At 35.7% G+C, this 14,442-nt stretch overlaps 1 protein-coding gene across 1 annotated transcript in view, besides 1 other annotated feature; it reads right to left on the bottom strand.

Annotated features, from left to right (window-relative positions):
* The window catches only part of PDZRN4 (PDZ domain containing ring finger 4), a 386,426-nt gene that overhangs the window by 268,814 nt on the left and 103,170 nt on the right, over nt 1-14,442 (bottom strand). The gene's annotated exons all lie outside the window — the stretch shown is intronic.
* Nucleotides 11,948-13,147: an enhancer, noted in NCBI's record as "MED14-independent group 3 enhancer chr12:41686587-41687786 (GRCh37/hg19 assembly coordinates)". NCBI's record gives its function as "activates an origin of replication core promoter dependent on BRD2, BRD4, P300/CBP and CDK7 cofactors, and independent of MED14, by STARR-seq in HCT116 cells {active_cell/tissue: HCT116}" and the evidence as "EXISTENCE:reporter gene assay evidence [ECO:0000049][PMID:35650434]".

Raw genomic sequence — 14,442 nt, 5'->3', positions numbered from 1 at the left:
AGGAATTGTACCTTGAGCCTCAACCATATCTGACATAGATGATATTTAGATGAGACTCTGGACTTTAGACTTAAAAGTTGATGCTGGAATAATTAAGACATTTGTCTTAACATTGTCAAGATGGAACAAATGTATTTTACATATGAGAAGGACACAAATTTTGTGGGGCCAGGGAAAGAATGCTATTGGTTCAATGCTCATGTCCCCCCACAAACAAATGTGTATGCTGAAGACCTAATCTTCAATGTGATGGTATTTGGAGGTAGGGCTTTTTGGAGGTAATTAGGTTTAGATGAGGTCCTGTGGATGGAGTGACCATGGTGGGGTTAGTGCCCTTGTAAGAAGATGAAGAGACCTCTCTCCCTCACTACCTTTGCCATATAGGACCCACCTACAAGGCAGCCCACACAAGATACCAAATCTTCTGGCAATTTGATCTTGGATTTCCCTACCTCCAGCATTGTGAGAAATACACATCAGTTGTTCAATCTACGGTATTTTATTATAGTCACTCGAGTTGATTGACATAAATAACTAACACTTAATAGTACTTATTGCATGTTTGGCACTGTTCTAAGTGTTTTAGTCCACTTGTTTTCCCAAGTCTTCCCAAGTTTTCTCACTGTTTCTGGTTTACTAATGGCATCCATCCAGGTTTCCAATGATGCAGTAGATTTGTTGTATGTGTGTAAGTTCAACAGTATTTTAGCAGGAGGGAAAAGAGTGAAACGTGTTGGCTTTCCTCAGCCACTTTGAATAGGAAGCAAAACACCCGAATGATTTTTCTAACACAAAACTGATAATGTCACCCCTCTACTGCAAGTCTGTTCTCGCAGTTTATGTCATGAGCCCAATACCTCCCAGTCTCTCCTCTCCTAACTTCTTTGCAGACTCCAAAACTGGCCCAGCTGCTACACCACCTTTGCCTTTTAATCTGCTATTCTTGCCTGTCTGCAATGCTGTGCTCTTTTTAGCCCACCTAATAGTCATATTCCCATACTGCAAGACCCAACCATGTAGTATGTTTATGAAGTATGTTATGCAGTATGCAGTTATGTAGTATGTTTATGAAGGAAGTTTGTGACATCTCCTCTAACTGCTCTCAGCCAAAGTGGAAGGCAATGTCATGCATTCTGTGCTTGCTGCATTCTTCTATTGTTGCATTCACTACTCTCTATTGAAATGATTTGTTTGCTTGCATCTCTTATCCATTAGTCATTGAGTTTACTTAAAAAGGGAACCATATCCTATTCATTTTTATATCTCTAGCATTTGGCAGAATGTCTCTAAAGCATGCATTCTCATTGGGGTTGATATCACTTTCAGTGTAGCAAAACTTGTTTCTTAAGAAGGCGTTGAAGAAATCTTAGCTCTTACAATGATTTGTGGCCCTCCAAAAGGCTGAAGTACAAACAAAAACAAATATATGATATATCTGAGGTATTGAAATTCCTGGGAAGAGAGCACTGAGTGGGGGAAAGTTTGGAAAAAGCTTCATAGGTGAAGATAATTTAAAAAACAGTTTGAGAAACATTGCTTTGAGATAAGCACTAAATCAAGGTTTATTTTTAGTTTTTGGATTTAGATAAGCACTAAGTCAAGGAAGAAATGGATTAATTCAAACTCTAGTCTGATACCTATTATTCCGGTGACTGCATAATCACTTAACTCCTTTTGATCTGATATCATACAAAGCTAGTGAATGATTAAAGCATATGACATATAGGAAAGCACTTTGTAAACTCGAAAGTATGTAAACAGCATACTCTTCCATGCTTTGAGACTATATGCCACCAGAATGCATTTCCTCTCTTTCTCTACCCAGCAAATTCCCATATATCCCTCAAGACAGAATTTTTCATGTTTTGTGAAGGATTTTCTGACCTCCTCAGGGAAAGCTGCTCTAGTCTCATAATATCTTTATATGTCTGTGTTCCTTACCTAGAGCATGAGATTTTTGAGCCCAGAGTTTGTGTCTTGTTCACAGTAGGTACTAAAACAAGAGTCAAATGAATTAAAAAAGCTGAGGTCATGCACTTGCATGTCTGTGATAAACAACCTCCCCAGTTCTGCAGTCACACAGAGTGACAATAAAGAATCTGCCCCCTAATGTATCCAGAACTCTGAGCATACTCAGATTTTAGCCAGTCTGAAAAAGCAAGAGCACATAATTGAAGGCAACCAGCCTTTGGTGGACATGTGGAAGCCTAGGTGCATGCCACAGGTCTGCAAGAATCTTTTCAATCACATGCTCGAATACTGACAGTATTGGCATTATTTTCAAGTAAGCAAGATGATGACAAATCAGACATAGCTCCTCCAACATTTAAATAAAACACAATATATATTGAGTGCTTAGCTAGATGAAGTCTTGTGGAAACCTAACTGAATGTGAGATTTCCAGAGGAAAGAGGCGAGTTCTTCAGTATTTTTATTTCTAAACATCATCTTTTATAATTAGATGTATGTAGCCTTTGGCCTATGCAGAGATGCAAAAGTTTTAGAATATGGTTCATAGATAGAGAAAACTTCTGCGAAGCCCGTAGGCATGAGATCATACATAACTGTGATCAAACCACAGGCTAGCTGGAAATCACCCTTAGGCACTTAGCTCAAAGGACTCAGGAGGGTTTTCTCTAAAAATCTCCTTTGTAATTATGCCACATCATATTTTGCCGAGGGCATGGTCTGACTGGTGGTTTTACTGATTTACTGGCCAACACTGACAACATTATAAAAATAGAAGGCTTGTAGTAATCATTGTAACTACTGTGGAGTCTCCCTGAAGACCGTCTTTATCCTGCCATGAGATCATGTGCTTCTAGTGGGTAATTCTTCAGATCATGTGTGCCACGGCTCACTGACTCCACTCTATCAGTACTAGGGCCAGTATTATGGACTAAACACTTGTAGCTTTTAGATTTTCAACACAAGAGTGTCTGAGTAGTGTATGTTTGTGTGTGTGTGAGTGTGTGTGTGTGTGTGTGTGTGTGTGTATTTTATATATATATATGAAATCAGGACAGGACTAAAATAGTATTCTCCTGGACAGAAAAATTTATAATGTGATTTACCCTTTAGGGTACCCTTAGATTCTAAGGTTCACTTAGATTAGGTACATCTCATGTCATCCATTATGGATGGGGGAGGAGTGCAAAATTAACAATTGATAAACTAAGAGTTATAAAAAATGACATACAGAAAACATTTCTACAAGGCTGTGACATCTCATTGAATAAATGAAGAATTTTTAACAATATAAAGAAACTTCCCAAAACGCACTGTGCAAATTCAGCATGAATGAAACAATTTAACTTCCTTTCCGGATTATGAATCTGATTCTATTACCCACTCCCTAGAGAACAATTTAAGTGTCTATGAGAGGTATATAAAGAGCATGTGGTTCTCAATAGTATCCTTACATCTTTAATCCTGTACATCATTATATCTTAAGAAAAATTCTGCACACAAAACATCCTGGAAATATCACTTGATGTTGTATTTTAAAAACTGGGGTGTACACCCCTTCCCTTGGATATACTTTGGTGAACAAAATGCACAAGAAGCTACAATATCAATATTATCTTTTGGAGTGGACAGTTTCATTTTAACAAGTGGTGATTGTGGCTATATGATTTTAATAATAAAATATATAATAATGTAGAAATACAAAAGTACACAAATTTTTAAGATTAAACAAACTTCAAAGAAATGTTATATTTGAGGTCAGTCTAAATATTCTGAGTAGTTCTGTATGTATGTACATACAAAAATATACACACATATAAACATCTATATACACACATGTGTGTATGCATATGCACATATATAATCAGACACATATACACACAAGCATACACACATACACAAATGTTATATGAAATATTCTATTAATGTTATAATTGAAAACAGAGGAGAAAAGCTTATTTAACCAATACTATATTATGGACTTGGGATGGATATTTAAAATGCTTTATCTCATATAATGACATCAACAGATTTGAAAATTAATACTAGGTCACTTTCAGAGATGAGACATGTGAGATTCAAGAAGGCAAAATAACTTGCCTGAGACCACATGGCTAAAATTATGAGGGTTTGATCTCAAATCTAGAATTGTGAGACTCAAGCAAATCCCAGGCTCTTTCCATCCGTATTTTGGTGCCAGGCATCCTGATACCTAAATTCTGCCAGCCACTAACTAACCTTGTTTTCTCTTGCTATGCCACAGTGAAAAGGAAAAAAAAAGTTGTTTGGAAAGCATTGCTTATAAAATAGCTGTTAGATTTAGCATTATCTTTTTTGGGGGGTTATAATATGTAGTATGATTAACTGCAATAAGCTCTTGAATTTAGTGAGATATTAAAAACTTCTGAATTATGTACAGGAAGACATAGAATCCCAATAATGTGACTTCATTCTTCTATAAGGATTATATCCTTATGTCTTATCCTTATATCCTTATATCTTATGTAAAGATCATGAAATCTGTTCATAGTCATATTTCATTTGCTACATACCTAAAATAGAAACAACAGTCCTCATCATGGCAATAATACAGTTATTCCACTGTTCTGCAGAATAACAAAGGGAATTTTCAAATATTGAAAATTTGAGAAAAGCTAAATGTATTAAATGTAAAACACTAGAAATCCTCACAGTGCGTATCTGGAAGAAAAGAATATATTCAAATGGGCATGATGTCTGTCTGTGTTTCCTTTCTCATCGTTTCTGCCTCTTCCCCCATCCCCCTTTGAAAGCAAACAGCCAAATATTCACAATAACCTAAAGAGTGTATGAGTTTGGGGATATTTCCCAGCAATCATCTATAAGCTAATAACTGTCAAAGGACAGAGATGATATCAAAAATAAGGTCAACATTTAGAATTGGAAACAAAAATAATCTATAATGATAAGAAATTCCCCTTATAGATAATCCAGTACTTTAAAAATAACAACAACCCCTTTCACCTTGGCTGCTTTCCTGCAGATAAACAGAAGCCATAACACAGAACTCCTGTTTTGATAACCTTGATCTCTTGAGTCCACTGTCATTTCAAGTTCTGGGTCTAGAAAGACATATTTATTTTCCCTGAAGCTTTCCATAAAACACAAGGAAGTCTTAGAAGATATAATAGCTCTGAAAAATCACAAAGTTATATTGTAAAACTACAGAAAGTTTTCATAATGATCTCTGGGTACAGCTGACCAGTATGTGAAAGGCCCTAGGGATATTTGACAAATATCTTATGGATATAATAGGGAGAACACTTGAGGTTTTTATTTCCTTAATGTACACATATCCTGAGGCCGAATGAGTATCTTTATTAGAGGTCATTTCTCAAAGAAGAGATAATGACCACAAGGGAAAAAATAAAACCTACATATTATGAAATATTTCTAATATGTGTTTGATTTTAATTGGGCACATTTCTGGGTGTGCCAGACAGTTTATTAAACTGTTTCACATAAAAATGTTATACATATATATCTCAAAATATAATTAAGAGTTATTTTAGTTCTGTTATTTAATATCTGTATTTGAAACATTATTGAACTGTGATTCAGGAAAACTGTGTTAATTGTAGTACTAAATTTATCAGGAGTTGGGACTTTGGCATATCACTTACTGACATAGTACATTTGTTTTCAAAAACAAAGTTGCATAATTATAAATACACTTATTTCAGAAGATTTTTGGAAGACAAAAGTAAATGTATATTAAAAGAGTAGCTAAAAGAGCTATGCAAAAGCAATGTAACACTGCTATCATTGTTACATAGTATTTTCCGTTTTAGAATGTACTTATCAGTAATATATACCTAAAGATGACATAACAATATACATTATATAAAATATGACACAAATAAATACATCTATACATTCATAAATATTGTAAGATTTATCTTGGAATAATACTGGTAGAAGACACTCAGAGATCAAAATAGATAAACAGTTGAATAAAGATATATGCACTAAGTCTATTTTTAATAGGGGATGGTGACATGCATGTATTTTTGAAAGAAACTTTGTTCATGAAAGCATCATAAAATAGTATTATCTATCAACTGTTATTGCAGTACAAAGATAAAAAATAACTTGTGTAATATCTTAATATATAAATATACTTAAATGGCTTTTAGTGACTGAAATTGCTGAGTCTGTTCTTGTGAAACACAAATACACAGTGAAATATGCTTTGAAAACTAACTCAATTTTATAAAGTAAAAACATAGTAGGATTATTTACAGTTGTTTCCCATAAAATTAAATTAAAATAATTTTATTACCTGAACAACTACTCTGAAAGTTTTACTCTAGAAGAACGAGCAGATAAAAGGGAATAGCAATTTTGTCTCTGAACAGTGTCACTATAAATATTATAAGGGTGTCATCTAAGCCTAAAAAAACAGGGGATTATAAAATAAATGAATTCTGGGCAAGAAAATAGCTAGCATCAACTTGGATGTGAACTCAGAACCAATAATTAAAATAAACTACACACAAATTGTGCGTCCAACAGAAGCATTCTGAGATTCAAGAAATCTTGATGATTTAATTGGATTACAAAAGAGAGGAAAAATCTAACTCTACTCATTGAGAAAGAGTGTCCAGACCAAGGCTTAATTGCAGAAACTTTTAATTTCTGTCTCTCTCTCTCTCTCTCATTTTACTCTCTGAAACCAAAAACAAGAACATTTCAGAGAAAGTTTTTGACTGATTATTTTTAGGGCTTAAAGCAGCTCGAGAAAATGGCCAGCTCTCTTTATTTTTAATAATTATTTGCCCTAGAATGTTGTAAAATGAAGAATTCCTCCAAGAACCTAGGCTCACTGCCTGCTTATTGCTCTAACTGAAGAATGCATGGAGCAACTCTTGCATTAGTGTCTGAGACAGCACTCTGTGGATGACATCAGAAAAAAAGGGCCACAGAATAATAGGAATTAGAAAACAAGGCCAAAGGGGGATGCAGTGATCACACAACAGATTGTTGGGGCTCTAACAGCAATGAGAGAGTGAATCCTTAGAGAACTGATCACCACTAAACCACTTTAAAGTGTAGAAGGGGTATATGTTGCTTTCTCAAAGAAAAAGAATATTCTCCCCAAATCTTATTAATCAATAAATAATAGAAATTCAAATGTTAATTATAATCTAGAACATTTATATTTCTTTCTAGGAGATACTGTACTGTTCTATTTCACCTGTTTGGCTCATTTAATGGTATTGGAAGTGTTAATGGTATCAGAACTAATTTAAAATAAGCTTCAGCAAATAGGCCTTAATTTATACATTGAACTTCATTCTAATTTATATCCTAGCTCCATTAGACAGCTTTTCTCATCCAATCCAAATCAGGTAATTTATAAAGAAATTTACCACAGAAAGCATATCATTTTTAAAAATTCATAAAACAAATAAAATGAAACCTAAAAATCTGTACACTAGTATCACAGGGGATGAAGTATATGCAGATATCTAAAAACAAAAAGCAAATTTGACTGGCAACGCAGCTTTGGTATCGTTAAGTCTTCAGATTTATTAATGCAGGATTATTCAACCAGAATAGCACATTCTCAGCCTGGAAAACAGGGAAAGAATGTATAACATACAAATAGCAAAATGTGAGAATATGCAAAAATAATCTTCAAGCACTACAAATTATCACTGGGAGTAATTTCGAAGTTCAATTCTTAAAATATATTTGACCTATATATTAACATATATATTAAGAACTGTTAATAGTATTTTCCCTGGGGTAAGATTATTGGGAATTTTAATTTCTGACATTGTTTCTATAATATAAAAATGATCATTAAAGATTAAAACATAGGTTTAGACTAGAAAATATAAATTGGTTTCTGTATTCTGTAGGACAGACTAGGAATGGAGTCTGAAAGGGATAATGGAAAAACAGTTACAAATTTACTTTGGGAGATTTCAAAGCTGTCACTGTGTTAATACAGCACTAAGTCTAAAACAGGGGATTCTCTAGGTTGCTTAGAAATTGTTTTAATCGATCTTCCTCTCCATTCTGGATTCTTGTGTCTCTTAGAGGATGACTATAATTAAATATCACATTTTCTTTTTTAGCCTAATAGTCAGTTTGGTTAATTTTTTGTGTTCTTTTACCCCAACTAAATGACTGAGTGCTTGAGAATCACATGGACAAGGGCTTAGGGCACAAGTTATAGAGAGCTGTTTTCCACTGGGGTTGGCTGGAGAAGGAAGAGGAAGGAAAGATTCTCCCCTTTCCACTGAAGAGGAATATTTTATATGTCCCTCCAGTGGCACTTGGTAAACAGGCTACATCTTAACGAACCATTTTTCAATGTCCTAGCACCTTTTAGGCCAGCCAGCACTAGTTTACTGTCTGCCCTCAATTTTAATGGTGTCAGAACTAGTTCAAAATAAGATTCAGAGAACAGGCCTTAGTTTATACATGAGCTTGTAAAAAGTCACAGCACCAGTGAAAGCACTCCTGTGGACACATAGTGAAGCTGGGGTCAGGGACAGGACCAGGGCCAGAACTAGGGCCTTTGAAATACATTATCCCCTGGGTTAAAGATTTCATTTGTTCTATCAGATTTTAAAAAATTTATTTTAGTCCAATGTTATTGTCTCTGTCCTATTTAAAATTAAAATATCCTAGTATTATAATTAAATGTTTTTTTCCTTACATTCCATCAACTGCTCAAAAGTATGATATATTTTGGTTTGTTATACAAGGGGACTTCAAAAAGTTTGTGGAAAATGGAATTAAAAGATGAAAATTAAAAAACAGAAATTTTACTTCTCAACATAAACTCCATCAAGTTCGGGACACATTTATAAGTGATGTTACCAGCCGTTTAGTTCATCCCTAAGAAACTGAACATCCTGGGAATTCAACCACATCAGTGTAGTCTTTTTTACACTATTAACTGAAGAAAAATTGATGCCCTTTACAGATTTTGTTTTTGTTTTTGTTTTTTGAGTCAGGGTCTTGCTCTCTTGCCCAGGCTGGAGTGCAGTGGCATGATCATGGCTCACTGCAGTGTCAACCTCCTGGGCTCAAGTGATCCTCCCACCTCAGCCTCCTGGTAGCTAGGACTACAGGCACACGCCACATGACTGGCTAATTTTTGTATTTTTTGTAGAGATAAGGTCTTGCCATGTTGCCCAGGCTGGTTTCGAATTCCTGAGCTCAAGTGATCCTCCTGTCTCAGCCTCCCAAGTTGCTGGGATTACAGGTGTAAGCCACCATGCCCAGCCTTACAGATTTTTTAATATTAGAAAATAAAAAGAAGGAAGAGGAGCCAAATCATGACTGTGAGGTGGATGCCTAATGATTTCCTATCAAAACTCTTGAAAAATTGCCCTTTGTTGATGAAAGCAATGAGCAGGAATATTGTCATGGTAGAGAAGGATTCTCTAGGAAAGAGGAAAGCTTTCTTGGGAATTTTTCTGTTAAACTTTCATCTAACTTTCTCAAAGTACCTTTATAATAAGAAGAAGTTACTGTTCTTTGACCCTTCATAAAGTCAACAAGCCAAATGCCTTGAGCAGCCCCCAAAAATGTTGCCAAGAAATTTGTTCTTGACCTGTCTACTTTTGCTTTGGCTGGACCACAGCCACCTCTTGGTAGCCATTGCTTTGATTGTGCTTTGTCTTCAGAATTGCATTGGTAAAGCCATGTTTCATTTCCTGTTACAGTTCTTTAATGAAATCCTTTAGAATCTTGATCCCACTTGTTTAAAATTTCTGTTGAAAGCTCTGCTCTTGTCTGCAGCTGATCTGGGTGCAACAATTTTGACACTCATCAGGTGGAAAATTTGCTCAACTTTTTTTAGCCAGAGTTGCATAAGCTGACCTAGTTGAGATGTCTATGGTATGGGCTATTGTTTCTGCTTTTAACCATAGATCCTTTTCAATTATGGCACAAGCAAGATGAAATTTTTCCTCAAAAAATTTAATTTTTGAGGAAATGGATGGTCTGTGCCTGCAGGCTTCATCTTCAACATTATCTCATCTGTTTTGAAAAAAAGTTATCCATTTGTAAACTGCTGATTTATTTGGGGCATTGTCCCCATAAACTTTTTGCAAAGCATCCATAATTTCACCATTCTTCCACCCAAGCTTTACCGTACATTTGATGTTTGTTTTTGCTTCAATTTCAGTAGAATTCGTGCTGCTCTGATAGGGTCTCTTTTGAAACTGATGTCTTACCCTTCATAGTACCTCAAACTAGATCCTGTTCAGACATGTTATATCACATTCATATGAGCTTATTTTGTGGCCAAAAATTTTGAAATCCATCCATAATTTTTTCATAATACAGATTTTCCAAGAACTTTTTGAAGATCCCTCTCATATTTAGGCCATTATTTTCTTATGGAGTTTTTGACTGTTTAATTTTGGTGAGGGGGTGATATAGGGATAGTGCATTTCTGTGTATTTGTTCTTTTTCTGACTTTCCTAATTACCTTTCTTTTGTCCTGCAGAGAAAAAAAAATGCCTTCAAAATTAACAATTTCTAGCTTCTTAGTAATTTTATCTTTGAGTTAAATCAATTTATATTTTCTTTGTTTTACATTTTCTGAAATTGGGGACTATTTTTGATTTGATGACAATATGGGAACTCTTTGTAATTGACCTCAATGAATTGTTTCCAGTGTTTCCTGTATCTCAAATCCTTTTTTTAATTTTCATGATGGTTTGGCCAGAGTACACCTTCAGGTGACTTCTTCACAAAGGGTGAGTAGAAGATAAACTTCTGAAGTTCTTGAATTTCTGAAATTGTCTTTATTTTGACCTTATCATTTAAAGACATCTTGACTGGGTATGGAATTCCAGTTTGAAACATTACCTCTCAAAATTTGAAAGGATTGCTCCATTGTCTCTGCTGTGGTACTGATGAGAAATCAGAGCTACTGCGATTTTTTTTTTTACATGTCTATGACCACATTTCCCTTTCTAGAAAACTTTGGGCTCTTTGAAGAAGATTCATGTCTCTATTCAGCTCTATGAAATTTTCTTTGTTCATTTACTTGATAATTTCCCCCATTTTCTAATTTTTCTCCTTTTAGAATTTATGATAAGGATATTTAGCCTCCTGAGTTGTTCTTCTATGTTTTTCTGTTGAAAAGATCTCTTAGATCTCTTAAACCTTATCTTCCAGATTTACAATAGGACTTTAGAAAATTGTTTTTGTAATCCTGTTTATAGTATGCAAAGCTCTGCCTTAATTTCTAAGTATTTTCATGATGAAATGTGATTCGTTGAGCTCAGGTATAAAGAGGTAATATTTAAGGTAATAGAGTTGTAATCTATTCTATTTTAATAAAGAAACTTAGTTTCAAAGTACTCTCTTTGTTATACTATTTTAAGTAAAATAATTTTAAATGTTAAATATTTAAAATGAATGAATTCCCTTCCCTCATTTAAGAGTCTTCATAAAGTCCTCGCAGTTTTCACACTGTTCTTCTTATATTTTTATCCATTGAAATCAACCTTGTCATTTATAGTTCATATAAAATTATTAGTAGAAATTAATCTCTTCTTAAGAAAGAGGCAAGTCAGTGTGCTAAATTCAAATTTTGTTCTACAGTACTTAGTTTCATACACATAATAATATTGGGAAGTATATTTTACAGGTGAGAAACAGCCTGTGAGATGGCAAGTGACTTGCACAACGAGGGTGTTAAAGGCAGGACTTGCACCCAGGTCTGCCTGACTTTGAAAGTTCATGCATCTCCCATAACACTACACTGCAAAGAGAAGGGGACATTTCAATGGCATGAAAGTTTAAGGTGAATATTTTGCCTGTGAAACACGTACTCTTGTGATACAAACAAACAAACTATAGAGGAAAAAAAGAAACAAAAACAAAAACCCCACAACAACATAACTATAAAACTCTGAGCCTATTTATGCAAACATCTTCAAATTAATCCAAGCAACCCTATTGTTTATTGAATGCCATGTCTTTGTAGAATACTTATGAAAAGAGAAGACAGATTCTTGCTTATTTGTAATGGTCATATTTTCCAGCTTTGATATTTAGCATTAGAAACTTGTTTTATTGGCTTTATTTTGCAGTACTGTATCATTCTCCATGACATCTAGAATGAATAATTAAACAGGTAACTGTGAAACACTACAGAAATTAATTTTAAGAGGACAAATGGGATCAGGGAACACAGCATACACTGCATTTTACTGAAAACACCTTCAGCCATTACACTAAATAATCCATGTCACATCCTCTGGTAATTTCCAGGGTGATTTCCTTTTGCCAGGATGAGTTATTTCTGCCTCTACTTGGAGTACAACATACCAGGGATATGCATTAATGGTGAGTTTGCTTTTTCGAAACAGGAGGAGAACAGTTAAAGATTCTAAGGAAATCTGCCAAACTGCTGGCACTTTGCTCTGACATTCATTCTTAATACTGGCAGAGAGAGTTGGGGCCACTGGCTTTATGGCTATTTAGGTGATGACTCTTGACAGAGCAGGAGCGCAGGTAGTAGGGGAGAGCCAGAAAAGGATGGAGTGGGGAAGGAGCTAGCTCAGTCACTTGAGTGGAGAGAGCTAAGCTTTATAGAGGCTATGGCAGATACGATGCTACATGTGTGTCCATATTTTTTTCCTCGTCAGCACCAGGGAAATTACATTGCCTAGGACAATTAATTACGTGTCCTCTACCCACATTCCACCAGCCAGAAGTTAGTCATAGAGCCCCACCTTGCATTGAGGTGGGGCTTCAATGACTAACTTCTGGCTGGTGGAATGTGGGTATAAGACACAAATACTTTTTTTAGAACTGGCCATAAAATAACCATAAAATAACCTGAGTGACCTGTTCTCCAGCGTCCCTCCTATCTCCCTTTCACTTCCAGCCTACCCAGAGTGAGCAGCCAGAAGCAAGGTGCGCGTGCCTCCAAGATGTTAGTGGAGCCACAGCATGCAAGGACCCCAGAATTCCTAGCCGTATCTCAGAAAAGAGCCTCCTAAGAGAGCTGCCTGACCAGAAACATTCACATTGGTCTTTTCATAATAGTGAGGATTTGGAGTTGTTTATTAAAACCCTTAGCCAATTTTGTCAATATAGAGTCTAAAACATTACTCATAATGGTGTGATGCACAACTCTCTGGGACATAGTTTCCAAGTTTGCTGAATCTTACTAAAGTGAACGTTCTTCTCCAAATTCCTTAGAGAATGAAGACAACAGATTAGCAGCATGCTTCAGCATACTTAGAATGTCATTTTAAAGACTAAAAAGAAGTCTCATGCTACCAGGCATGGCCAAGATAATATCATGCGTACTTAAAAAGTGAATAAATATCTGGGCTATCTGGGGTTCCAGACACTAATTCTACCCAAACGAGTGGCAAAAGGAAGCACAAACCCAGTCAAAGGGGGGTCCTGAAATGTAAGGATCAAATCAAGAAAAAACCTCAAATGGTAACTTCAAAAACACAATGAAATTTGTAAGTGAACATTTCTTACAGGGCCCTTTTACTGCCTTCTCTGACCTCTGCACCTTTGCCATTTTTTCTCTTGGTCTGCACTTCCTGCACACATGTGCTCTCCAGCAACATGAAACCAGCTCTTCCTACAAATAATGATCCTTAGAAGGCCAAGATCTGGAACGGTATTCTCCCCTTTCATAAAGATTTTTGAGCCTTGTGATGGGAATGAACAACTCTCTCTAGCTGTTTGCTTAAACCTGTTGTTCTTCCCATTTTCCTCAGTCCTTCTGTTCACTGCAATTTATAACTTCATAGTTGTAAATATGGATTACATCTCTTTCTTGCCTAAGAACTATTATGCCTGACCCACTTTTTTCTCTAACGCCTGCTACTCATGCTTTGTTTGTTGCTTGTGTGCCTGATGATTAATTGATTCACCTCTGATGAAGACTGCCAAACACAACCTGGGTGGATGCAGATCCTTTAGCCTGTTTTCCCAATGCTAGTATATTTCCAGTTATCCTGGTCCTGCCTTCCTCCCAGTTTGGTACTCAGGGTTCCTGTGCTGAGACTCCTAGTAAGGTTGCATCTCATGTACCAGGTTTGAGGTAATGGGGTGCCTCCTTGGAAATGAAATGACTACATTAGGGGGTCTCTATGGAGAAGAATAACTGCAGGATTTGCCCACCCTGCCATAGATCCTCCTCATGGTGTTTCCAAAGCTGTCTTATTTCCTTCATAATCTTATTCTCTTCACAACCCCTGTTCATAAAACTTGAGCATATGAGGAGAACAAACCAAGACTCACATAGTTCTGGCCTCACTCAATAACTATAAACATTACCTGTCTATAGTGTATTGAGCACCTACTGTGTTTAAGGGCTACTCTTGGCTTTGGGAGGCTTAGGATGAATAATGATTTTATGACATGTAAATAAAGAATAATAATATTTATTGAGTACTTTCAAATTTTCCAGAAACTCTGAAA

The sequence above is a fragment of the Homo sapiens genome, chromosome 12, assembly GCF_000001405.40.
Source record: "Homo sapiens chromosome 12, GRCh38.p14 Primary Assembly".
Classification (NCBI taxonomy): Eukaryota; Metazoa; Chordata; class Mammalia; order Primates; family Hominidae; genus Homo; species Homo sapiens.
This window is presented reverse-complemented; position numbering and strand designations above follow the sequence as displayed.